The sequence below is a fragment of the Homo sapiens genome, chromosome 11, assembly GCF_000001405.40.
Source record: "Homo sapiens chromosome 11, GRCh38.p14 Primary Assembly".
Taxonomy (NCBI): Eukaryota; Metazoa; Chordata; class Mammalia; order Primates; family Hominidae; genus Homo; species Homo sapiens.
In genome coordinates, this window is record NC_000011.10 from 68,462,607 (window position 1) to 68,489,902 (window position 27,296).

Below are 27,296 nucleotides of genomic sequence, written 5' to 3' on the forward strand. Positions count from 1 at the left end.
GTTTGGGAAATAGCTTTTGTCCTGGAGGGATACTTTGGAAGGTATTCTCCACTTCAGCATGTCTGGTCAGGGAGTCTAGAACATTGAACAAAATGCCTGCACTCAGTCAGAAATAAACTCACAATCCTTTACCGCTTGCCCGATACTCTCCTCCATGGTGCTCGAAACCTTGCGTGCACCTTCCCCTGGTATTGTTGTGTTTACTTGGGACTTGGTTTGCTGTATTGGAGATGTGTGTTTTGATGGACTCAGTCTTAAGTAGAGATGAGTATCTTGCTGGTGGAACTTAAGGACAGGAAGAAGATTGTTTTCGGTTTAGAACTCTAGCCTTTGTGTAAAGTATAGCAAAGCAAAGTCAACAAGCAAAAAGTTGTTAGTTTCAATGAACTAATTGAGAATTTGAGAATCAGACCATAGCTGAGCAGAAAATGAATAGAAGTAACATTGACAGGATGAGGTTGCCTAGCTTTTTAAGATAAAGCTTTGGCCGGGCGCAGTGGCTCACGCCTGTAATCCCAGCACTTTGGGAGGCCGAGGCTGGCGGATCACTTAAGGTCAGGAGTTCGAGACCAGGCCAACATGTGAAACCTTGTCTCTATTAAAAATACAAAAATTAGTCGGTCATGGTGGCGTGTGACTGTAATCCCAGTTATTTGGGAGGCTGAGGCAGGAGAATCGCTTAAACCTGGGAGGCGGAGGTTGCAGTGAGCCAAGTCCAGCCTAGGAGACAGAGCGAGACTCAGTCTCAGAAAAAAAAAAAAAAAAAAAAAAGATAGGGCTTTGCACCTATTTGGTAGATTATGTGCTTGTTACAAATAAACATCTCTTTAAAACAAGTGTCACGATCGGTATTTTATTTCTATGACAACTTCCATTGTCTAGTTCTATATTTTCAGTATTTGAGAGGCAGCCTCTGTGTGTGTTTGTGTGTGTGTGTGTTTTGGTCTAAAATTTTACAGTATTTTACTAAATAAGAGTAAATGATAGTGAAAATAAAGCTCTTCTATCTGCTCAACTAAAACTCAGCATTGACTTGGTCCTTAGAAGTTATGGTCTGCACCCCAGTATTGGCTGCTACTTTTTCTAATGTACTGAAAAAAAGATCTGGCCTCTTGGCTTTAAACAGCTTTCATATTTCTTTCCTTTCTTAACTTCAAATGATTGTCTTTTGATTTACTCTAGTTCAAGAGTTCTCAGTTGGGGGTGGTTCCCCCCTCACCCCCCAGGAAACATTTGGCAGTGTCTGGACATATTTTTGCTTGTTACACCTCTGGGAGTGGGCAGTGTGCTTCTGGAGGGTAGAGGCCAAGGATACTGCTAAACATCCTACAGTGTCCAGCATAGCCTCCTCCCTGCCCGCCAGCAAAAGTATCCAGTCCCAAATAGCAACACTGCTGAGGTTGAGAAATCCTGCACTTAGATAGATGTGAGACTGGCCTACATTAGAATAAGCCTGCATTAGAATAATTAGAAATTTTTTAAGACCATGGATGTTGGACTCCACCTCTGGAAATGGTGGGATTGAGAATCTTATTAATTTTTTTTGAGATGAGTCTAGCTCTGTCGCCCAGGCTGGAGTGTGGTGGTGCCATCTCGGCTCACTGCAACCTCTGCCTCCTGGGTTCAAGCAGTTCTCTGCCTCAGCCTCCCTAGTGGCGGGGATTACAGGCACCCGCCACCATGCCCGGCTGTTTTTTGTATTTTTAGTAGAGATGGAGTTTCACATCTTGGCCAGGGTGGTCTTGAACTCCTGACCTCGTGATCTACCCGCCTCGGCCTCCCAAAGTGCTGGGATTACAGGTGTGAGCTACCATGCCCGGCCACGAGAATCTATTTTTTAGAAGCTTCTCAGACAATACTGAAATGCAGCTGAATTTTGGAACCACTGTTTTACACCACAGGTTTAGGGACTGTTTGTGAGTTAAGGGTTCCTTTCGGTGATCTGTGAACTTGGTCTTTGCAGTACCTAGATCCTGCCTTGGAGATTATTTAGTAGTGGGGATTATTTAGATGGTATACTTAACCATTTTTCAGATGCCTGAAGACTGAACTTTAGAAGCATTTGTTAATTGATTTTATAAAATATCTTAGGACTTTTTTTTCTTAACCTCATGAAAATACATTACCATACTGTGCTGAAACTAAGCAAAATTCTTAGATATTTAGAGTTTGCTTCTGTGCTGAATAATCTTACACTACTGTAATTTTTGAGTTAGTATCTTTTGCCCTCCTTTTGTCAGTCAGTGGTCAGGTCTGGTTTTAGATGCCAGCTTCAACTTTTTTTTTTTTTTTTCGGAGACAGTCTCACTATGTCACCCAGGCTGGAGTGCAGTGGCATGATCTTGGCTCACTGCAACCTCCGCCTCCTGGGTTCAAGTGATTCTCCTGCCTTAGCCTCCTGAGTAGCTAGGATTACAGGTGCGTGCCACCACACCTGGCTCATTTTTGTATTTTTAGTAGAGATGGGGTTTCACCATGTGGGCCAGGCTGGTCCCGATCTCCTGACCTCAAGTGATCCGCCCGCCTCGGCCTCCCAAAGTGCTGGGATTACAGGCGTGAGCCACCATGCCTGTTTTTTGTTTTTGTTTTTGTTTTAATAAAGACCTATTCCCAGAGAATTAGCCCTGGATCAGTTTACCAGTTCTGCCCATTGAGGGCACAGATAGGCATACAGTATGCTCAGCCTTTAACACAGTGATCCTGCCCACTGGTAAGTTGGACTCTTCTGTGCCCTAGACTCTGATCCCAGCAGAGAAGTGTTCTTTTCTCCTGGGGAGATGAGATGCAGTGGTAGAGAGAAGGGTAGATCTTTTTTGCTCATATTAAAATTTAGATTATCTAGTTTATGGAATGGAAGAATATTAGGAAAACTATAAATTTTTAGCAGCTAAATGTTAATATCTGAAGTTACAAAAGGTCATGGAGGCATTTTCTTATTCTTCATCCTGAAATTCGGCCTGTGCCTATGTTGAGAACTACCAGTGACCACCATCTACTTCTAATATCCATTTATTTCATCAGCAAATACATTAATTGAGTCCTTACTCTGCTAGGAACTGTATTAGGGATTCACTGATGAACAGGCCCTTAAGGACCTGCAGTCTAGAGGAAGAGGCAAACAAGAGACGACAAAGCTGTTAAGAATTGTACATGGTGTCAATGGGGCCTGGGAGGAAAGAGCTTCTGTTTGCTGGTCAGTTGGTTGATTTGTTTAAACTTTGGGTGGTTGAGATTGCCAGAAGTTTTGCAAAAGAATAAGATAGTTACACTTTGTTACTCATTTATAAGAAATGATTACTTCGACTTGCCTCCTTAGTTTGAGGAGTCTTAAAAAGCAGTGCCATTCTTCCCATACTGAAGCCGTTTTGTAATGACAGATAGCTGTTTATAGCTCCCTACACAACAGTTATCCTTTGACCAAACCTCAGACACTGACTCTCTGGTTCCAGACCCGTCCGAAGCTTGCTGTAGGTTTTTGCAAAATGTTTCCGGCATTCTTGAAATAGATGCTACTTCAAGTGGGAGGGGGTGTTTCTCCTGCTGCATTATGGATCTAGGTTGACTGGAGATTTTGTTTTGGCCTTTTGACTTTGGCTTAGATTTATTTGTCATGGAAGCCCCCTTTCCTACTTCTCACCCCCTTTAGTTTTATGAGGAGGGAGATAGTTGCTAGTTAGATCAATACTCAGTTTATTTCAGGTATTGAAAGATTACAGACTGACATTTGGATACCAGGTAGGTTGGCTACGTGGTAAAGAAGCAAGTAAAAGGGCATTTGACAGTATGTGGAAAGGTATCTTATCTCTATGCCTAGCTAGGACATTTTCTTTTTTTTTTTTTTTTTTTTGTTGAGACGGAGTCTCGCTCTGTCACCCAGGCTGGAGTGCAGTGGCGTGGTCTCGGCTCACTGCCAGCTCTGCCTCCCGGGTTCACGCCATTCTCCTGCCTCAGCCTCCCCAGTAGCTGGGACTACAGGGGCCGGCCACCATGCCCGGCTAATTTTTTGTATTTATTTATTTATTTTGAGACGGAGTCTCACACTGTCGCCCGGGCTGGAGTGCAGTGGCGCTATCTCGGCTCACTGCAAGCTCCGCCTCCCAGGTTCACACCATTCTCCTGCCTCAGCCTCCCGAGTAGCTGGGACTACAGGTGCCTGCCACCACGCCCGGCTAATTTTTTTTGTATTTTTATAGAGATGGGGTTTCTCCGTGTTAGCCAGGATGGTCTCCATCTCCTGACCTTGTGATCCGCCCGCCTTGGCCTCCCAAAGTGCTGGGATTACAGGCGTGAGCCACCGCGCCTGGCCATTTTTTGTATTTTTAGTAGAGACGGGGTTTCACCGTGTTAGCCAGGATGGTCTCGATCTCTTAGTGAGCCGCCCGCCTTGGCCTCCCAAAGTGCTGGGATTACAGGCGTGAGCCGCTGCACCCGGCCCTAGCTAGGACATTGTCATGTCACAGACTGGGCAAAGAGCTGGCTTTACCCTGAGTAGAGGCTATTTACTAATTGTCACTTACGGCTGGCTAGAGTTGACCTGTTTTAGATGCATTAGTGAAGACTATACAGTTGACTGAACTTATGCAATTAAAGTTCGATAGGTTCTGAACATCTTTTTACAGATATAAGGAGGCTCTGATTTTGTACTTCACAGTAACTCTGGGGAAAACCACGGGATTATTAGTTCCAGAATTTCTTACAGTGGAAATACATAGTGACTTGAAGTGATTTGAATTCCCCAGAGATTGACTACCGTGAAATCTGATGGCCCAAGAAAAGATGAATGAAAGATTGTTTTTAGGAACATTAGAGAGCAGGACTAAAACGGCTGCAGACTGATGTTGAGTCAGACAGACTTGGAGAAAGCTGTGTGGGACTGTTAGTTGGAGCCTTGGGTTTCCTATACCTACATGTAAATCTGAACAAAAATTCTGGTGGCAGAGACACACTTTGAGAAAAAAGAGCTTGCCTGAGAACACATGTCACACTGAGACCCTAATCAGGGCAGTTCACACTGCCTGCTCCATGGTTGGCTGGTCAGATTGGTTGGGCTTTGGTCCTCAGATGGGCGTAGCGGGAGGAACACTGACTAGTCTTGACAATTGACTGAGGCTTCCATTCGTGAGAATCATGGTTTTGGGCTGCAACAACACTTAGACGTCATTTATTTTCTATTTATTTATTTTTTTGAGATGGACTCTCAGTCTGTCGCCCAGGCTGGAGTGTAGTGGCGCGATCTCGGCTCACTGCAACCTCCGCCTTACAGGTTGAAGCGATTCTCCTGCCTCAGCCTCCCGAGTAGCTGGGACTACAGGCGTGTGCCATCACACCCAGCTAATTTTTTATTTTTAGTAGAGATGGAGTTTCACCATGTTGGCCAGGCTGGTCTCAAACTCCTGACCTCTAGTGATCCGCCCGTCTTGGCCTCCCAAAGTGTTGAAATTACAGGCATGAGCCACCACGCCCAGCGCATTTATTCTTACAGAAAAATGGAGGCCATGCAGAAGAATGGAACCAGAAGGAGCAGAGAAATCTCAGCCCCGGTGATTCCATAGGATTGTGATGTTCCAGACCACAGTTTTAAGTGCTATTTGTTTCAAGAGTGACATCACAGCTGGATTTTACTTAGAATTCAGAATAAGTGGTTAACGTCTGGAATTTTATTTTTGGTAGTAGTATGTGTCAGTTTTTTGTCACTGTATAGTAGTTGAGGAGTTCTTTTTTGTTGACATAGAGATACACAGGGTTTGTATTGCCTTTGGACAATGGACAGGTCTCATCTGTCTCTTTTGTCTGCAAGTGAGACCCTGCCCCTTCTGAGTAAACAACACTCTGTGAATGACTGTCCCTTTTCACTGTGGACTTCTTGTTATTACACCCTTAGATGGACTCAGCAGCTATGAGATCCTCCCATCATAGGTATGGTATTTTGTAACAAAAGTACAGAAACACCTCCAAGGTGCAGTGAATGATCTCAAGGAGAGAAATGGAGTATTATAGGATCATAGAGAGGCCTCGAGGTCTAACCAGCTGCTCTGCGGAAGTCAGGGTGATGGTGGTTTCAGTGTTGGGGAGGTTACAGAGTTAGTGTTGATATGCAAATTTTCTTCCTCCAAATTTGGAGTATGTTATATATGTTTTAATGTATATAACTGTGAATATGAATATAACATTAGAACATATATAACATAATTTCTGCTGGTGGAGTAGAGATCATAAATTTGAGGTTTGCAGTTTGCTTTCTAAAACATCTTTTAAGTTTATTCTTTTCTGGCACACAGGACGTTGTAGGGTAACTTTGCTGTGGAGTCTCACATTTTATATAGAATCATTTTTTCAACATAGTGTGGATAATCACATACGCCTTGAAGGATCAATATATGTTAACAGATGATTGGATCTTTTTGATTTTGCACTTAATTTCTTTACAAATTCTGCATTATAACCAGACAGCTCTATTGAGGGTTTGCAGATTTTTTCTGTAAAGGACCAGTTAGTAAATATTTTAGGCATTGGAGGCTAAATGGTCTCTGCAAGGACTCATCTCTGCTTTTGTAGTGTGAAAGCAGCCATAGCCAATCTGTAAACAAATGAAGGTGGCTGTCTTCCAATAGGACTTTACTTATAAAAGCAGACAGAGAGTTGGATTTGGCCTGTGGGTTGTAGTTTGTCAATGCCTGCTCTAATCTGTTTTGTCTTTGTTTATCTTTTTGAGATAGAGTCCCAGGCTAGAGTGCAGTGGTGTAATCTGGAGTGCAGTGGTGTAATCCCAGGCTAGAGTGCAGTGGTTTTTGTTTATTTTTTTGAGATAGAGTCCCAGGCTGGAGTGCAGTATAGCTCACTGCAGCCTTGACTGACCTCCCTGGCTGAAACGATTCTCTCACCTCAGCCTCCCGAGTAGCTGGGACTGTAGGCACATGCTACTACACCCAGGTAATTTTTTTTTTTTTTTTCTTGTAGAGACAAGATCTTCCGATGTTGCCCAGGCTGGTCTTGAACTCCTGGGCTCAAGCAGTCCTCCCACCTTGTTTTCCCAAAGTGCTGAGATAACAGGTGTGAACTACCATGCCTGGCCTCTAATCTGTTTTTTTATTTTAACTTGTAATTGGACTATGAATTCAAAGAGTATATATCAGCATGTGCCCAGATATTAAACATTAGAACTGACACTTGTGTACCCACTAACCAGCTTAGGAAATAGAAGGTTGCCATACCTTTGGCTCCCTGTGTCCTCGTCTCACCACTTCCCTCTTTCTGACCTCCCCAAGGCAAATACCTTGTATGTATCATTTTTCTGCTTTACTTTATGGTGTTGCAAAGTATAAATGTATCCTTATATAATGTGACTTCATTTTTGCATTCCTTTAGACAATGTAAATGGAGTCACTTTGTTCTTTTTTTGCCCCCACTCAACATTGTTTCTGTGATCCTTTTATTCAGATGTTTGAGTACTTACCATGTCTTAAACACTGTTCTACTGCTGGGCATGTTAACAGTAAGCAAAGCAGATGAAAAGTCCTTGTTTTCATGGAGCTTACATTTTGGTAGGGGAAAGACAGTTAACAGATAAATGAAAGATACAGTAGCCATATGGTAATACAAACAGGGAGAAAAGTAAACCAGGAGAGGTGGGGTGTGGGGGAGTGCTTGTCTGCAGATTGAAATACAGCAGTCAACAGAAGGAGTGGAGGGACCCAGCCACAAGGCTGTGGGTGGCAGTGGGGTAGGGGCAGCATTATAGGCGGAGGGTCAGCAGGACAAGGTGCTAAGAAGGAGGCATGTCTGCTGTGTTGGAGGGGCAGCGGAGGCCAGTGTGGCTGGAGTGAGGAGCCTGAGGGAGAGTGGGAGGAGGGTAGGCCAGATGGATGGGGGAGATGGGGGGAGGGCGTAGGTCACACTGGCCATTGTTAAGATTTTGTCTTTTTCTCTGAGTGAGATGGGTAAGTCATTTGGTGTTTTGAGCAGAGGTGTCACATGATGTGGTTTCTAAAGGTCCCACTGTCCTGTGCTGCTGGAGGGAGGTTGGACGCTCTGGCAGTGATCCAGGAGAGCAGTAATGGCAGCTGGGACTGAAGGGGAGCAGGGGTGGGAGTGAGAAGAGGTTGGCTGCTGGATCCTTCTTGAAAAGGAAGAGCAGACAGGATTTGCTGGCAGATTGGAGTGGGTGTGAGAGAGGAGTAAAGGATGATACCAGGGATTTTTGTAGCTGGTGGGCGTTGCCATGTATAAGGAAAGGGAAGACTTGGGAAGAACAGCGTGTGGAAGTAAGATCAGGAGTTGGGTTTTGTGCATGTTCAGTTTCTGAAGCTTTTGGAGAGCAGATTGGAGATATGCTGGATTGGGGTGTTCACTGCTCAAGGGAGAGATCTAGGCTGCAGATAGAAATAGGAGTCTTTGGGCCGGGCGCGGTGGCTCACTCCTGTAATCCCAGCACTTTGGGAGGCTGAGACGGGCGGATCACAAGGTCAGGAGATGAGACCATCCTGGCTAACATGGTGAAACCCCGTCTCTACTAAAAAAAATACAAAAAAATTAGCCGGCTTAGTGGTGGGTGCCTGTAGTTCCAGCTACTCTGGAAGCTGAGGCAGGAGAGTGGCATGAACCCGGGAGGTGGAGTTTGCAGTGAGCTGAGATCGCGCCCTGCACTCCAGCCTGGGTGACAGAGCGAGATTCTGTCTCAAAAAAAAAAAAAAAAAAGAAAAAGAAATAGGAGTCTTCAATATTTAGGTGGCATTTAACAGTCCCGAGGTTGAGTGAGGCACTGAAGGAATGAGGCTCTACGGCAGCCTAGAAGGTGGAAGGAGCAGCTTTGAGGCCTTAGGAAAGTGTTGTCACGGAGGATGGAGCGGGGACCTCTGCCAGTGCTGCTGCCGTGAGGTCACCTGAGATAAGGACCAAGACTCGTCTCATGGCTCTGGCAGCGTGGAATTCATCGACGATCTTGAGAGCTGTTCCCACATGGTGGTGCAGGAAAAGCCTGGAAGGGAGCATTCACAAGGATTGAGAGAAGAGAAAGGCAAGTAGAGCTCCGTCATGGGATTTGCCACAGTGATGAAGGGATATTTGGGATCCTGAGGTGTTGAGGTGGGAGAAACCACACCATTTTTGCAGTGTTGGTGAAGTAATTCTCCAGAGGATGAATGACATGATGAATCAGAAGAGGTGACCCTTGCTGGAGCCACATTCTTGGGAAGGCAGCAGGAAGTGGGTGGGTGCCCATGTGGAGAGTTGGCATCCATGGGCTCCTCCCTGGTAGGAGGAGGGAGAGCAGACTAGGGGAGATGGGATAGTGGGAGCATGTGGACGTTGGCTTTTTTTTTTCTTGGTGAAATGGAAGAGTTCTCAGCAGTCAGTGAGAATGAGGGGGTGTCAGGGCTGGCGGGGTGTGAGGAGAGAGGAGGAAGTATGACATACTCTGTGGGAAAGTAAGAATGTGTGTGAATGGAATGGCCTACCTGAGGGTAGCAGTCCTGAGTTGCAGTGAAGACAGCACGATTTGTTATTTTTCCTGGAAGGAGAGTAGGCATTGCTTCATTTAACTGGGGTTGTGGTTTCCCTAATCAGAAATAGCAAAGCAAGAGAGAGGCCAGGAAGTGATGATGTTGGTGGGACGTGGTGGTAAAGCCGGGAAGGGAAGGCGTGCAGACGGAGAGGTTTGCCCACATTGGTGCGTGTGGTTGTGGTTTATCCTTCTTCACTTCTCTGTTACATTGCAGACTGAATATGTCTCATTTTCTTCTTTGTCCTGCCATTGGAGAATATAAGTGTTTCTAGTAAGAAGGAACGCTGCCTTAAACAAGTGCAGATGCATTTCTCCAGGGTACCACCCATGTAGAGAATTGCAGGGTAGTGCGACATGTACATCTTCAACTTTACTAGATGGTGCAAATTGTTTTCCAAAATGATTGTACCTCTTTACCTCACTACCAGCACCGTCCTACATCCTTGCTAGCCCTTGGTATTGTCAGACTTTAATATTTGCAGGTTTGGTGGATGTAAACTTATATCTCGGGGTTTTTTTTTTTTTAATGACAACATTATTGAGAAGTAATTCACAGACTATTCAATTGATCAATTTAAAGTGTACAACTGATGGATTTTAATATATTCACAGAACTGTGCAGTTATCACCACAATCTAACTTTGTAACATTTTTGTCACCCCCTCAACGACAACAAAACCACCTTGTACCCATTGGACTATTCTGGACATTGCTTATTAATAGAATCATACAATAGGTGGTCTTTTGGGACCAGCTTCTTTCAACTTAGCATGTTTTCAAGTTTCATCCATGTTTTAGCATGTATCAGTATCAGTCCTTCATTCTTTTTAGTTGCTGAATAGTGTTCAATTGTATGGATATACCACATTTTATTTATCCATTCATCAGTTGATGGACATTTGTTTCCTTTGAAATATATAGTTGATTTTCATCCTTGGCATAGTTTCCGGGCATACAGCTCCTAAAATCTTTGGACTTTCCAAAATGATAAGTGTCTTTTTGTATGCGAATGAGTTGACTGATGGCTAGCTGACCTAGGTAGCTTCAGGTTAGGGGCTGGTCACTGGAAAGACCATGATTAGAGGGTTGGGACTTTCAGCTCCACCTCCAGCCTTCAGTGAGAGGAGATTTGCTGAACATTGAATTGATCAACTGCCAATGATATAATCAGTTGTGCCCAAGTAATGTCACTGCCATAAAAATCTGGAAAGACTGGGTTCTAGAAACTTCTAGAACACATGGAGGTTCCTGGAGGGTGGTGTGCCCATAGAGGGCATGGAAGCTCTGAGCCCCTCCCCTCTTACCTTGCCATGCGTATCTCTCCATCTGTATCCTTTGTAATATTGTTTATGATAAACTGGTAAACTTGTTTCCCTAAGTTCTGTAAGCCACTCTAGCAAATTAATCAAACCCAAGAAGTGGGTTATGGGAACCCCAGTTTATAGCTGTTGCGGGGGAAGCACAGGTAAAACAACCTGGAGCTTGTGATTGGCGTCAGAAGTCGAGGGCAGTCTTGTGGGACTGAGTCCTCACCCTGTGGGATCTGACTCTATCTCCAGGTAGATGGTGTTGGAATTGAATTGGAGGACACCCACCTGGTGTCTGCTGCAGAACTGATTGCATGATGTGTGGTCACATAAGTATCCTGTGTTGATTGTTAAGGGAAAGAATAGGAAAAACACTCTGCTTTGTTATTTTTGTCTCTTTATTACTGGATTTCTACTTTTTGGCTGTTGTGAGTAATACTTCTGTGAATATTTGCATACAAGTCTTTGGGTAGACATGGTTTTATTTCTCTTGGTGTATACGTAGGAGTGGAATTGTTGGATAATGTGGTAACTTTAACATTTTGAAGATTTGCCTTTTCCTTATGGCTAATGCTGATGAGTGTCTTTTTACATAGCTTGTTGGCTATTTGCATGTTAAAAAGCAATTACCTTTTTTTTTTTTTTTTTGAGACAAGGTCTTGCTCTGTCACCTAGGTTGAAGTGCACTGTGGCATGATCATAGCTTACTACAGCTTCAAACTCCTGGGCTCAAGGAATCCTCTCGCTTCAGCCTCCCGAGTAGCTGGGACTACAAGCACACACCACCATGCCTGGCTAATTTTTACAATTTTTGTAGAGACAGGGGTCTTGCTTTGTTGCCTAGGCTGGTCTCGAACTTCTGGCTTCAAGCAGTCCACCCACCTTGGCCTCTCAAAGTGTTGGGATTACAGGCATGTGCCACTGCGTCCAGCCTGATTATCTTTTAAATATCATATTGGCTATTTGTATATCTTATTTAGAGGAAAGCTCACTTAAATCTTTTGTCCTTGCTTTTTTTTCAAAAAAGAAATGCTGTATTTTTCCTGTTTTTAACTTACCTAATGCCTTATGATTTATGTGTCCATGTTCATGGTGAGATTGGCCTGTAATTTTCCTTTTTTTATATCAACCTTGATGAGTTTTATTATCAAGATTATTCTAGTCCAATAAAACAAATTGTAGTATTTCCTCATTTGTCTCTTGAGAGTTTATGTAAAAGGGAATTATCTGTTCCTTGAAGGTTTGGTAAGCCTTGCTGGTAAGACCATTGGGGCCTAGTGTTTTCTGTCTCAGATTTTTAAATTACTTATTTGGATGTTTTAATATTTATAGGATTATTAAAATCTTTGTTTTTTCCTGAGTCACATTTGGTAGTTTATGTTAAAAAGTTTGTTTATTCTTGTCTGTATTTTCAAATATATTGGCATAAAATTCTGACTTACTATCTTTTGCATCTCTATCATATTTGTAATCACTAATATTTAACTTCCTTTTTTTTATTTTTTTTATTTTTATTTTTTTCATTGATCATTCTTGGGTGTTTCTCGCAGAGGGGGATTTGGCAGGGTCACAGGACAACAGTGGAGGGAAGGTCAACATACAAACAAGTGAACAAAGGTCTCTGGTTTTCCTAGGCAGAGGACCCTGCGGCCCTCTGCAGTGTTTGTGTCCCTGGGTACTTGAGATTAGGGAGTGGTGATGACTCTTAAGGAGCATGCTGCCTTCAAGTATCTGTTTAACAAAGCACATCTTGCACCGCCCTTAATCCATTTAACCCTGAGTGGACACAGCACATGTTTCAGAGAGCACAGGGTTGGGGGTAAGGTCATAGATCAACAGCATCCCAAGGCAGAAGAATTTTTCTTAGTACAGAACAAAATGAAGTCTCCCATGTCTACTTCTTTCTACACAGAGACAGCAACAATCTGATTTCTCTGTCTTTTCCCCACCTTTCCCCCTTTTCTATTCCACAAAACCGCCATCGTCATCATGGCCCATTCTCAATGAGCTGTTGGGTACACCTCCCAGACGGGGTGGTGGCTGGGCAGAGGGGCTTCTCACTTCCCAGAAGGGGCGGCCGAGCAGAGGTGCCCGCCACCTCCCGGACGGGGCAGCGGCCGGGCGGGGGCTGGCCCCCCACCTCCCTCCCGGACGGGGCGGCTGGCCGGGCGGGGGCTGCCCCCCACCTCCCTCCCGGACGGGGCGGCTGGCCGGGTGGGGGCTGCCCCCCACCTCCCTCCCGGACGGGGCGGCTGGCCGGGCGGGGGCTGCCCCCCACCTCCCTCCCGGACGGGGTGGCTGCCGGGCGGAGACGCTCCTCACTTCTCAGACGGGGCGGCTGCCGGGCGGAGGGGCTCCTCACTTCTCAGACGGGGTGGCTGCCGGGAGGAGGGGCTCCTCACTTCTCAGACGGGGTGGCCGGGCAGAGACGCTCCTCACCTCCCAGATGGGATCGCGGACGGGCAGAGGCGCTCTCCACATCTCAGACGATGGGCGGCCGGGCAGAGACGCTCCTCACTTCCTAGACGGGATGGCGGCCGGGAAGAGGCGCTCCTCACTTCCCAGACTGGGCAGCCGGGCAGAGGGGCTCTTCTCATCCCAGACGATGGGCGGCCAGGCAGAGACGCTCCTCACTTCCCAGACGGGGTGGCGGCCGGGCAGAGGCTGCAATCTCGGCACTTTGGGAGGCCAAGGCAGGCGGCTGGGAGGTGGAGGTTGTAGCTAGCCGAGATCACGCCACTGCACTCCAGCCTGGGCAACATTGAGCACTGAGAGAACGAGATTCCGTCTGCAATTCCGGCACCTCGGGAGGCCGAGGCTGGCGGATCACTCGCGGTTAGGAGCTGGAGACCAGCCCGGCCAACACAGCGAAACCCCGTCTCCACCAAAAAAATACGAAAACCAGTCAGGCGTGGCGGCGCACGCCTGCAATCGCAGGCACTGGGCAGGCTGAGGCAGGAGAATCAGGCAGGGAGGTTGCAGTAAGCCGAGATGGCAGCAGTACAGTCCAGCTTCGGCTGGGCATCAGAGGGAGACCGTGGGGAGAGGGGGGAGGGGGAGGGGGAGGGGGAGGGCTATTTAACTTCTTAAACAGTATGTTTAGGTCATTAATTTTCAACCTTTTTATATACTTATATGTACATACATATCTAAATAAAGTAGTAATTTCCTTTTAAGCACCACTTTAGCTATATGCTATAAGTTTTGCTATGTATAATTTTTATCTTTAATTCTGAATATATTCAGATTTTCATTATGATTTCAAATCTTGGCATATATATCTTTTTAAAATCTTTGTTATTGATGACAAACTTAAATTGTGTTAATAGGGCTGGTGTGATGGCTCACACCTGTATTCCCAGCACTTTGGAAAACCTAGGCAGGAGGATGCTTGAGCCCAGGAGTTTGAGACCAGCCTGGACAACATAGTGAGACCCCAGCTCTACATATATATATTTTTTTATTTAGCTGGGCGTGGTGGTTTGTGCCTGTAGTCACAGCTACTCAGGTGGCTGAGGTGGCAGGATTGCTTGAGCCCAGGAGTTCGAGGCTGCAGTAGTAAGCTATGATTGCACCACTGTACTCCAGCCTAGATGACAGAGTAAGACCCTGTTTCTTTAAAAAAAAAAAAAAGTGTTAATAAAATGTGGTCTAATGCGATTTTGATTCTTTGAAATGTGTTGAGGCTAGTTTTAGTTTGTGCAGATTTTCATCACTATTCTATGTGTGTTTAAAAGAATGTGTATTTCCAGATTATAAGGTGAGGCTTTTCCATCTCTGTTCAAACTAGTATCCTTAATTTTTTTCTGCTTGTTCTGTTAGTTGGTGGGGGATGGGGGTGGGTGTTAGAATACAACACCGGATGTCCCTGACTTGCCATAGTCTGACTTAGGATTTTTCCACTTTATGATAGACTTATTGGGACATAACCCCATTGTAAGTTGAGGAGCATCTGGACTTCATGATGGCTCAATTTATGCTTTTTCAGCTCTGTGATGAGTTTATCAGGGTATTAAATTCATTTTCATCCAGGTGCAGTGACTTATGCCTGTTATCCCGACACTTTGGGAGTCTGAGGTGGGAGGATCAATTGCTTGAGTCTAGGAGTTTGAGACCAGCCTGTGCAACATAGGGAGACCCCATCTCTACACAAAATTTAAAAAATTAGGTTGGTATGGCAGCGTGTGTCTGGAGTCCCAGCTACTCAGGAGACTGAGGTGGGAAGATCTGCTTGAGCCCAAGAGGTCGAGGCTGCAGTAAGCTGTGATTGCGCCACTGCACTCCAGCCTGAGAGACAGAGAGAGACATTGTCTCTTAAAAAAAAAAAAAATATATATATATATATATATATATATATATAATTTCCAACTTACAGTCGATTTTTTGGGACATAACCAACCCCATGGTAAGTTGAGGAGGTTCTGTACCTTCTATGATGGGATTTGTCAGATTCTGTAGCACTCAGTTTTTGCTTTTCATCTGTAAAGTTTAGATTTTTTTGTGTGTGTAGAGACAGGCTCACTGTGTTGCCCAGGCTGGTCTTTTTTTTTTCTTCTTGAGACAGTTTTGCTCTTTTGCCCAGGCTGGAGTGCAGTGGCGTGATCTTGGCTCACTGCAACCTCTGCCTTCCGGTTTCAAGCGATTGTCCTGCCTCAGCCTCCCAAGTAGCTGGGATTACAGGCACCCGCCACCATGCCTGGCTAATTTTTGTACTTTTAGTAGAGATGGGGTTTTACCATGTTGGCCAGGCTGGTCTCGAACTCCTGATCTCGTGATACACCTGCCTCAGCCTTCCAAAGTTCTGGGATTACAGGCGTGAGCTGCCGCGCCCGGCCCAGGCTGGTCTTTTAACTCCTGGGCTCAAGCAATCCTCCCACTTTGGCCTCCCAAAGTGTTGAGATTTAGAGGTGTGAGCCCCGTTGCCCAAGCAAGTTAAGAATTTTAAACCTTCCTGTGACTTGCACAATTTGTCATTCTGTAAATCTTCATTTCTGTGAATATTTTCCCACTAAAGTATATATATAGGCCGAAAACTTAAGTATCTTTTGTCAAGGTGTTATGTAACTATGACAAGTGACTTTTGGTTACTATTTGCCTTATATATCTTTTTCTGCCCTTTTACTTTCAAGCTCTTTTGTGGCCTTAACGTTTTAGGCGTGCCTTTTGAAAGCCACACATAGCTAAATTATAGTTTATAATTTGACTCTCAACTGATGAGTTAGTGCACTTGGTAAGTTTTTTTTTTTTTTTTTTTTTTTTTGAGAAGATGGAGTCTCGCTTTGTCGCCCAGGCTGTAGTGCAGTGGTGTCACCTCAGCTTACTGCAACCTCCGCCTCCCGGGTTCAAGTGATTCTCCTGCCTCAGCCTCCTGAGTAGCTGGGACTACAGGCATGCGCCACCATGCCCAGTTAAGTTTTATGTCTTCAGTAGAGAGGGGGTTTCACCATGTTGGCCAGGATGGTCTCCATCTCCTGACATCGTGATCCACCTGCCTCAGCCTCCCAGAGTGCTGGGATTACAGGCATGAGCCACCATGCCCGGCCAGTCTGAACGTAATTTTATACAATATTTTCATATATGAAAGAAGTGTGTATACATTGAACCATCAGAAAGCAAAGGTGTCACCATCTCAGCCATCCATGTTGACAGTCTGCGGTTGCTAGACATCACTATTGTTCCTGACATGAATTTATAGGCTATCAATAAGCAATCATATTCTTACGATTATTCACATGTAAGTACTTAACAGTAAGGGATATGGCGTACCATTAATACAATTAAAAAATAATGCGTGGAGGGTAACTAAGCAGCATAGTTGTATCACTGGAATACCTGTAACCGCTATTAAACAGCAGCAGATGCAGGGGGCTGGGAGGGTCTTTTTCCCCTTGGAGACGCGGAATAAACTGTGTTGTGTGCCTGCATTTTGACTGTGGTCTGTCACATGAGGTCAAGGTGGAATTTTTTACTTGTGGTATTAAAAATGTTTGGATTTTGGAGCATTTCTGATTTTGGATTGTTTGATGAGGGACGCTCAACCTATACTTTTATATTGTCATTCTTAAAAGGTTGTTTTGCCTAATACCCAGTTCTGGCTCGATGATTGTTTTCCCTTAGCACTTTGACAGCACTTTCATCTTCTTTTTCCATTGCTGGTATTGAGAGTGATAAGAAGTTAGATGTCAGTCGTTTCTCTGCAGGTCATCTCTAGCTTCTAACCTCTTTCTTTCATTTTTTAAAGTCTTTTTTTCTCCTTGTTCTTCAATTTCACTAAGAATTATTTATGTAGAGTTCTTATTTCTTATCCTTTCTCTGCCTGAGGGTTGGTTTCTTTCTTTTTTTTTGAGACAGGTCCTTGCTCTGTCACCCAGGCTGGAGTGCAGTGGTGCTATCCTGGCTCACTGTAGCCTCGGACACCTGGACTCATGTGATCCTCCCACCTCAGCCTCCCGAGTAGCTGGAACTACAGGTGCAAGCCACCACACCTGGCTAATTTTTGTATTTTTTTATGAACAGGGTTTTGCTATGTTGACCAGGCTGTTCTCTTGGGCTCAAGTGATTATCCTGCCTTGCCCTCCCAAAGTGCTGGGATTACAGGTGTGAATTATCGCGCCTGGCCTGGTATATTTCTTCAATTAAAAAAAAAAATTCTCAGCCATTTTTGCTTTGATATTTCTCACCTGCTTTTTCAGTTGTCTCTTTCTAGTACTCTGTTTAGATCTTATATTTAGTATATTTTCTATAATGTGTTGTTTCAGCTATACGGACCATATATTCTGTAGGTAATACCAGTGGTTGCATGCTTTTCTGCTCTGATCTTTTGATGTTTCTTTCTGAAAACTTATTTCCTCTTGTGTTTGCTGTTTTTGATTTTGTGGCAACCAATCTTTGTCTGCCATGCTCTAATTTGATGAGAATGGCCAAATGCCCTCAGTACATTTGTAGTCAATGTTCAGCAAATATTTATTGAGCTCTTCTGTACCAGACACTGTCTGGGCACTTGGTATTTACCAAAGAACAGAATGGATAATATTCTGCACCTTGGCGGAACTTAGCATCCAGTGAAACAAACTTCTAGGGTAGGGATGGAGGTAGCTGTGAGAATTTTCTTGTTTTTATCAGCCTAGCTTTGCATTTAAAGAGGTGCTTTAATATCGTGTCCAGGATTTTTACATATTCTGGGCTTAAAGTGCTCCTCATGTTGGCCAGTCCAGCAAATGTTTGTTTTGTTTTATTTTTAGGTTGCTGGTATTATCTGCTATTTTGGATTATTCTTTTGGTGTCTTGATACGTCCAAATAACCAAGTACCAGATATGTGTTTTGAATAAGCGTCAGCTAGTATTCAAAATATTTTAAAAATTACAATAGGGGAGTTTCATTTTGCTAAGAGTTAGCAAATATATGATTTTTTCCCCCTCCTTCAATATGGAGTGTTCATGTGTCAATTTCAGGAATTTCTTAGAGATTTTCAACTCTTTTACATTAGGTAGCTCATTTTTTATATCCAGAAATGGGAATGATTTCAAGGATAATTACCATTTTGAAATGGGATCATTTGCTTGCTAGAAAATGTTAACATTGACTCCAGCCAAGTACAGAACATTAAAAACAATCTGGAAAAAGGGGTGTGGATCAAAATAGATTATGAGCCAAATCTGTCTCGAGGAAGGAAGAGAGTAGAGTTTAGCATTTATAATACATGGCCTATCCCAAGAGAGGGGAGGGACTATTTTATACATAAAAAAATATTAAAAGCCTTACTTTGACCAATAAATTAAAAAGAGGCCATCAGAAACAAGAGCCGTGGAGGGACATAATGACACATAGGCTGGGGCTAGTACTGGAGTTCATTTTGTGACACTCTGGTGGCAAATCCTGTCAGTTCTGGTCCTGTCTCTGCCTCTGCCATGGCCTTCATTGAGGAGGGTTAGGGGATTTGGTGGCAGCAGGAGCACACTGCTGATCCCAGAAGCATAGGGTTAAGAACTAACTGCCTTGAATACGATCTTAGTGATTTTCAGTGGAGCCAAGGAGTTTGAAATGCATAGGCAATGTAACTTCATCAAACTTCAAAGAGCCAAGCTTGATAATCTTTCAGGGTTGTGAGAAAAGGATGAGAAAGGATTGTAGAGGACATGGGTTAGAGAGAGCGAGCTGGTTTAGCAGAATTGTTGTGAGGATTAAAGATAAATATTGGTGGGCATGTTTGTATCTATCTCTAGAAGAAACTAGAGTCCATTCTCTGTTTACCATATTGTCAGGCCTAACTAACATTTTTCACTTTTTGGTATCAGTTACTAGTAAAGTGCCTCATGGTTAGTGTAAACCTTCAGCAGCCTGCCGTGCTTACTCACCTCCACTTGCAGGAGGCAGGTGTGTCTTTATTTTGCTTGCTGAGTCCCTGCTATTAAATTGTCACTTGCGCTTGGTTCTTTATATGTGTTACTTTTAACTCTTTATTCCTTCTAGATGAGTGTGAGGTAGTCATCTTGAGATGAAGCAGCTGGGAAGCAGGGAGGCAGTCTGGCCATAGCGGTTAGGAAGAGGGTCATTAAGGTGGTCAGAAGTGGGATAGAACCTTGGTTTGACCACTGACTACCTGTCTGACCTTGGGCAAATTATCTCACCTTTCTAAGCTCCAGTTTCTTCACATGTAAAATGAGAATCATACTAAAATTATCCCGGCCGGGTGCAGTGGCTCATGCCTGTAGTCCCAGCATTTATCACTTTGGGAGGCCGAGGCAAGCAGATCACCTGAGGTCAGGAGTTCAAGACCAGCCTTGCCAACATGGTGAAACCCCATCTCTCCAAAAAAAAAAAAAAAAAACCAAAAAAACCTGAAAAACAAAAATTAGCTGAACGTGGTGGCGGGCGCCTGTAATCCCAGCTACTCAGGAGGCTGAGGCAGGAAAACCGCTTGAACCCGGGAGGCAGAGGTTGCAGTGAGCCAAGATCATGCCAGTGCATTCCAGCCTGGGCAACAAAGTGAGACTGCCAAAAAAAAAAAAAAAAAATTTCCTCTCTTTCCCATAGAAAATGACTTTGGGTAATTTGAAATTGTGGAGTGTTTTGTTTTTGCAAGTTTTCTAGTGTAGAAGTCCTAAACTTACACAGAATAAGTGGTTAAATGTTAATGAATAGTAGCCTATTTTATGGACTCTGGCTTGGTTTTGAAGTCTTGACTGTAGAGGTAGGATATTGTAAACTTTTTTATTCAACTGACTTTGTTTTTTTGGTTTGGGATAGAAAGTCTTAGTTTTTTAAAAAAAATTAATATGTGATATTTATTTTGAAAAAAATTATAGAGAAGGCTAAAATCCATTCTGATCACCTTTTCCAAATCCTTTTCCATCTTCTGTTGTTACTGGTTTTGTGTCTCCTTTCTTGATTTTTTTTCTGTATATTTGCATATATATGCTGGGTATGTGTGTTTTATATAAATATAATAGCACCATACTATTGTGCCGTTCTTTTTTCATTCATCTCTTTTCACTGAGTCCCATGTAGTACTAATAGGTCTACCTCTTTCTTTTTAATAGCTGCATACTAAGGGTATACTTTATAGCCATTTCCCATATCAAGGGTCTTTAGATTTTGTTGTTATTATCACAAACAATTCAGCTGGCTTTTAGTTCAATGTAATAAAGTTCTTTGTTCTTAGAAGCCTTTAGAATTATATTGTTTAGTGCAGAAATAAAACACTACAAGCTGAGTTATTTTGCTTTTTTGTCTTTGCAAGTAAAGTACAAATGTTTAAGCAAAGGGAAGAAAACTTTTCTTAGAAAAGTATTTTGTTTACCTCCTTTCAAAATGAGATACGACATTGCTTTTAAATTCTATAAATGACCAATTATTTAGCAAATCTTTTAAAATTGTGGGAAAATACATAACATAAAGTTTGCATTTTCACCATTTTTAAAAAAGTTCCCAGCAAAATTGAGCAAAAAATATGGAGGAGAGTTCCCATATACTCCTGTCCCCACACTTCTGTGATAACATCCCTCAGGAGAATGGTGCATTTGTTAGAGTTGATGAACCTACACCAACACATTATCATCCAAAGTCCATACTTTAGGGTGTACTCTTGGTGTTACACATTCTATAAGTTTTTTAGACTGGAGTGCAGTGGTGTGATCTCGGCTCATTGTAACCTCCGCCTCTCAGGTTCGAGTTATTCCCCTGCCTCAGCCTCCTGAGTAGCTGGAATTACAGGCATTTGCCACCAGACTGGCTAACTTTTGTGTTTTTAGTAGAGACAGGGTTTCACCATGTTGGCCAGGCTGGTCTCAAACTCCTGACTTCAGGTGATCCGCCTTCTTTGGTCTCCCAAAGTGCTGGGATTACAGGCGTGAGCCACTGTGCCCAGTCATATTCTAAAAGTTTTGAAAAATGTATAAGGACATGTAGCCACCATTGTAGTATCATACAGAATGGTTTCACTGCCCTACAGATCCTCTGTGCCTCATCTATTCATCCTTACCTCCCTGCAACCTCTGGCGACCACTAATCCTTTTACTGTCTGCATAGCTTTGTCTTTTCCAGAATGTCATACATTGTTTATGTAGCCTTTTCATATTGGCTTCTTTCACGTAATAATATGCATTAAGTTTTCTTCATGTCTTTTCATGGCTTGATAGCTCATTCCTTTTTAGTGCTGAATAATATTCCATTGTCTGGATGTGCCCAAATTTATTCATTCACCTACTGAAAGATAGCTTGGTTGCTTCCCAATTTTGGCAATTGTGGATAAAGATGCTGTAAATATCCGTGTGCAGGTTTTTGTGTGGACGTAAGTTTTTTCACTTTACTTCGGCAGATACCAAGGAGTATGATTACTGTATTGTACAGAAAGAGTATGTTTGCTGTTTGGAAGAAACTGCCCACAGTGGCTGTACCATTTTATATTCGCACCAGCAATGAATGAGAGTTCCTCTTGCCCCACATTGTTGACAGTGTTTGGTGATGTGTCTTGAGTTTGGCCATTTTAATAGATGTGTTGTGCTATCTCATTGTTGCTTTAATTTGCAGTTCCCTAATGATGTATGATGTTGAACATGTTTTCAAATGCTTACTTGCTGTCTGTAATGTTTGCTCAGGTCTTTTGTCCATTTTTTAATCAGGTTGTTCATTTTTTTGAGTTTTAAGTGTCTATATATATTTTTATATATATATAATATAAGATACATATTTTGAGACGGAGTTTCGCTCTTGTTGCCCAGGGTGGAGTGTAATGGCACAGTCTTGGCTCACTGCAACCTCTGCCTCCTGAGTTCAAGTGATTTTCCTGCCTCAGCCTCCGGAGTAGCTGAGATTACAGGTGCCCGCCACCACGCCCAGCTAATTTTTGTGTTTTAGTAGAGATGGGGTTTCACCATGTTGGTCAGGCTGGTCCCAAACTCCTGACCTCAGGTGGTCCACCCACCTCGGCCTCCCAATGTGCTGAGATTACAGGCATGAGCCACAGCGCCCAGCCTTCTTTATATATTTTTGGATAATAGTTGATTATCAAATGTGTTGTCAGATTTTGATCAGGATTGCATTGAATCTGTAGATCAAGTTAGGCAGAACTGATATCATGACAATATTGAACCTTCTTATCCATGAACATGGAATATCTCTTCATTTGTTTAGTTCTTCTTTGGGGTCTGTCATCAGAGTTTTATAGTTTTCCTTATATAGATCTTGTACATATTTTGTTTTATACCTAAGTATTTCATTTTTTGGATATGTTAATATAAATAATTTTTTTTTTATTTTCAAATTCCACTTGTTCCTTGCAGGTATATAGGAAAGCAGTTGATGTTTGTATATTAACCTTGTAGCCTGTAACCTTGGTATAATGGCTTATAAGTTCTGGGACTTTTTTTTTTTTTTTTTTTCAATTCCTTCACATTTTCTCCATCATGTTGTCTGTCAACAAAGACAGTTTTATTTTATGCTTTCCAATCTGTATACTTTTTATTTCCTTTTCTTATTGAATTAGCTAGGACTTCCAGTATGATATGATGGAAAAGGATGATGAGAGGGAACATCTTTGCCCGCTTCCTGATCTTAGTGGGAAAGCTTTAATTTCTGACCATCAATTATGATGATAGTTGTAGGTTTTTGATATATGTTGTTTATCAAGTTGAGGAAGCTTCTTACTGTTCCTAGTTTTCTGAGTGTTTTTTGAAATGAACAGGTGTTGGATTTTATTAAATGCCTTTTCTGCATCTGTTGATGTGATCAGGTGAGTCTTCTTGAACCTACTGATGTGATGGGTCATGTTAATTAATTGATTTAAAAAATTATTTATTTTGAGACAAGAGTCTCACTTTGTCACATAGGCTGGAGTGCAGTGGGATGATCTTGGCTCACTGCAGCCTTGGCCTCCTGGGCTTAAGCAATCCTCCTGTCTTAGTCTCCCAAGTAGCAGGGACTACAGGTGTGTGCCATCATGCCCGGCGACAGATTTTTGATTATTAAAGCAGCCTTGGCTGGGCACAGTGGCTCACACCTGTAATCTCAACACTTTGGGAGGCCAAGGCAGACAGATCACTTGAGGCCAGGAGTTTGAGACCAGCCTGAGTGACACAGTGAAACCACTTTCTTAACTAAAAATACAAGAAAAAAAAAAAAGCTACACCTAATTTTTTGAGACTCAAAAAGAGTCTCAAAAAGAAAAAAATTAAAGCAGCCTTAAATACGGGATAAATATTTGGTTGTGGTATATAATTTTTTATATATAATGCTTTTTATGTATAATTATTTTTATGTATTGATTCAGTTTTCCCATATTTTGTTGAGGATTTTTATATCTGTGTTCATGAGAGATACTGATTTGTACTTGCCTTGTAGTGTCCTTGTCTGATTTTGGTATTATGGTTATGCTGACCTCATAGAATGAATTAGAAAGTATTCTGTCTGCGACTGCCGGGTGCAGTGGCTCACACTTGTAATCCCAGCACTTTGGGAGGCCGAGGCGGGTGGATCACAAGTTCAGGAGATCAAGACCATCCTGGCTAACACGGTGAAACCCCATCTCTCTTAAAAATACAAAAAATTAGCTGGGTGTGGTGGCGGGCGCCTGTAGTCCCAGCTACTTGGGAGGCTGAGGCAGGAGAATGGCGTGAACCCGGGAGGCGGAGCTTGCAGTGAGCTGAGATCACGCCCTGCACTCCAGCCTGGGCGACAGAGCAAGACTCTGTCTTAAAAAAAAAAAAAAAAAAAAAAAAATTCCGTCTGCTGCTTTCTATTTTCTGGAAGCAATTTTAGAGAATTGGTATTATTTTTTCCTTAAATATTCAGTAGAATTCACCAGTGAACCCATGTGCGCCTAGTGCTTTCTATTTTAGAAGGTTATTATTCAAATTTTAAATTTATAGGCCCTTAAGATTATCTCTTTTTGTGTACATTTTGGCAGATTGTTTCTTTCAAGGAATTGTTCCATTTCATTTAGGTTATTAACATTTTGAGCATAGAATAGTTGATAATATTTCCTTATTCTTCTAATGCCCATGGTATCTGTAGTAATGTCATTTTTCATTTTTGGTATTGGAAATTTGTGTCTTCTCTCATTTCTCTTTCTCCTCAGCCTGGCTAGAGTTGCGCTGATTTTATTGTTGTTTCCTGAAAACCACCTTTTGTCTTTTTCTCTCTTGATTTCCTGTTTTCAGTTTCATTGATTTCTGCTCTAATTCTTCTTTTCTTATGCTTACTTTGGAATTAATTTGCTCTACTTTTTCTGGTTTCCTAAGATAGAAGATCAGATTATTGGTTTTGGATCTTCTTTTTTAGTGTATTACTCAATGCTATAAATTTCCTTCTAGACACTGTTTTTGCTGTATCCCACAAGTTTTGATAAATTGTATTTTTCAAGGCCAGGTGCAATGGCTCATACCTGTAATCCCAGCACTTTGGGAAGCTGAGGCGGGCGGATCCCTTGAGCCCAGGAGTATGAGGTTGCAGTGAGCTATGATCAGCCTGGCCAACATGGCAAAACTCTATCTCCACTAAAAATACAAAAATTAGCCGGGGCATGGTGGCACATGCCTGTAATCCCAGCTACTCGGGAGGCTGAGGCATGAGAATTGCCTGAACCTGGGAGGCAGAGGTTGCAGTGAATGTAGATTGCACCACTGCACTCCAGCCTGGGCAACACAGCAAGACTGCCTCAAAAAAAAAAAAAATTGTATTTTTTTTTATTTAGTTAAAAATACTTTCAACTTTCTCTTGAGATTTCTTTTTTGACTCCCATGTTATTTAGAAGTATATTATTTAATCTTCTGGTATTTGGGGATTTTTCAGTTATCTTTCTGTTATTGATTTCTAGTTTAATTTCATTGTGGTCTGAGAGTACATTGTATGATTTCTGTTATGTGTTTTAAGGCTCATAGTGTGGGCTCTCTTGGTGAATGTTCTGTATGAACTTGAGAACTGTAATCTGCTGTTGTTGAAATAATGTATAGATGTCAATTATACCCAGTTGATTGATGGTGCTATTGAGTTCCATCATGTCCTTACTGATTTTCTACCTGCTGGATTTCACCATTTCTGATGGAGGGGTGTTGAAGTTTCCAACTATAATAGTAGATTCATCTATTCTCCCTTGCAGTTCTATCAGTTTTTGCCTCATGTATTTTGACACTGTTATTAGGCAAATACACATTAAGGATTGTTATGTCTTCTTGGAATATTTCTTCCTTTATCATTATGTAATACCTCTCTTTAGCCTTGATAACTTTTCTTGTTATGAAGCCTGCTCTATCTGCAATTAATACAGCTACTCTTGTTAACTTTTGATTAGAGTTAACATGATATATCTTTTTCCATCCCTTTCTTTTTTTTTTAAACAGGGACTTGCTCTATAGCCCAGGCTGCAGTGCAGTGGCACAGTCATAGCTCAGTGTAACCTCCAAGTGTGTGCCACCACACCCAGCTAATTAAAAAAAATTTCTTTTTTGTAGAGATGGTGTCTCGCTGTGTTTCCCAGCCTGGTCTTGAGCTCCTGGGCTCAAGCAGTCCTCCTATCTCGGCCTCCCAAAGAGTTGGGATTATAGGTGTGAGCCCAGCCCCCCATTCCTTTACTTTTGATCTACGTGTGTCTTTATATTTAAAGTGGCTTTGTTTTCTTATTTTTGGTTTTTGTATTTTTATTGGGAGCTACAGGGGAACGGCTTCTTCCCTGTCAACGGAGGTGCTCACAATTTTCTCAGCCACTCCAAGCTTGGGCCCTAGAGCACCTGGGGGGTCCTGATGGTGGCTGGACACATCAGGCATGTTCTCATCATGTAGAAGGGGCACTGGGTAGTTGTAGGGTGTGTCCTGATTGATCATGATGGCCTACTTGGTGTAGGGGCTGAGTAGGGGCAGAATCACAGAAGCTGGTGATGGTTAAGGACACATTGGCTCAGGCATTCTTGAGGAATGCAACAAGTCTCGCTGCCATCTTGATCTTGAAGGTGGCAACAGCTAGGTTCCTTGTAGACAACATATAGTTGGGTCTTATTTTTTGATACATTCTGAAAATTGCTCTTTTAATAGGTGTATTTAGACCATTGACCTTTAATGTGATTATTGATATAGTTGTATTAATATCTGTGATATTTATTGCTGTTTTCCAGGTTTTGCCTTTTTTTTTTTTTGAGGCAGAGTCTGCCTCTGTTGCACAGGCTGGAATGCAATGGTGTGATCTCGGCTCACTACAAGCTCTGCCTCCTGGGTTCATGCCATTCTCCTGCCTCAGACTCCAGAGCAGCTGGGACTACAGGTGTCTGCCACCACGCCCGGCTAATTTTTTTGTATTTTTAGTAGAGACGGGGTTTCACCATGTTAGCCAGGATGGTCTCGATCTCCTGACCTCATGATCCGCCCGCCTCGGCCTCCCAAATATTTTTTTGTTTGTGCTTTTGTCACATACACTTTTTCTGCCTTTTTTGGTTTTAATTGATCATTTTATATGATTTCCATTTTTATCTTCTTTCTTAGCATATTTGTTAAACTTTTTTTAGCTTTTAAAGGGTTACACTGGAGTTTGCAACATATATTTGCAGTTAATCCATGTCCACTTTCAAATAACACTACAGAGGTAGTGCACATACAGGTATTATACCTCGTTTTATTGTGGCTCACTTTCTTTCACTTTGCAGATACTGTGTGTTTGTGTGTGTGTGTGTGTGTGTGTGTGTTTTAATGAACAAATTGAAGGTTTATGGCAACCCCGTATTTGCCAGGGTATCAGCGCCATTTTTCCAGTTGCATGTGCTCACTTCATTAGCATTTTTTTATTGGTAAAATACTTATAATTAAAGTCTGTGCTTTTTTTTTTTTAAGACATAATGGTATTGCACACTTAATAGTGTAAAAATAATGTTTGCATATGGGAAACCAATATATTCGTGTGACTTACTTTATTGTGACATTTGCTTTTTTGCGATAGTCTGGAACTGAACCTGTAATATCTCCAAGGTATGCCTTTACCAGTAATAACAAATATTTCTGATTCCGCCTT

At 42.6% G+C, this 27,296-nt stretch overlaps 1 protein-coding gene and 1 pseudogene across 84 annotated transcripts in view, besides 1 other annotated feature; one reads left to right on the top strand and one right to left on the bottom strand.

Annotated features, from left to right (window-relative positions):
• PPP6R3 (protein phosphatase 6 regulatory subunit 3) overlaps positions 1 to 27,296 on the top strand; it is a 154,583-nt gene that overhangs the window by 1,855 nt on the left and 125,432 nt on the right. The window lies entirely within an intron of this gene.
• Positions 7,326 to 7,826: an enhancer, noted in NCBI's record as "H3K4me1 hESC enhancer chr11:68237400-68237900 (GRCh37/hg19 assembly coordinates)". NCBI's record gives its function as "activates a minimal SCP1, AML or CMV promoter by ChIP-STARR-seq in primed H9 embryonic stem cells {active_cell/tissue: H9 hESC(primed)}" and the evidence as "EXISTENCE:reporter gene assay evidence [ECO:0000049][PMID:30033119]".
• On the bottom strand, positions 26,003 to 26,234 carry NDUFA3P2 (NADH:ubiquinone oxidoreductase subunit A3 pseudogene 2; annotated as a pseudogene).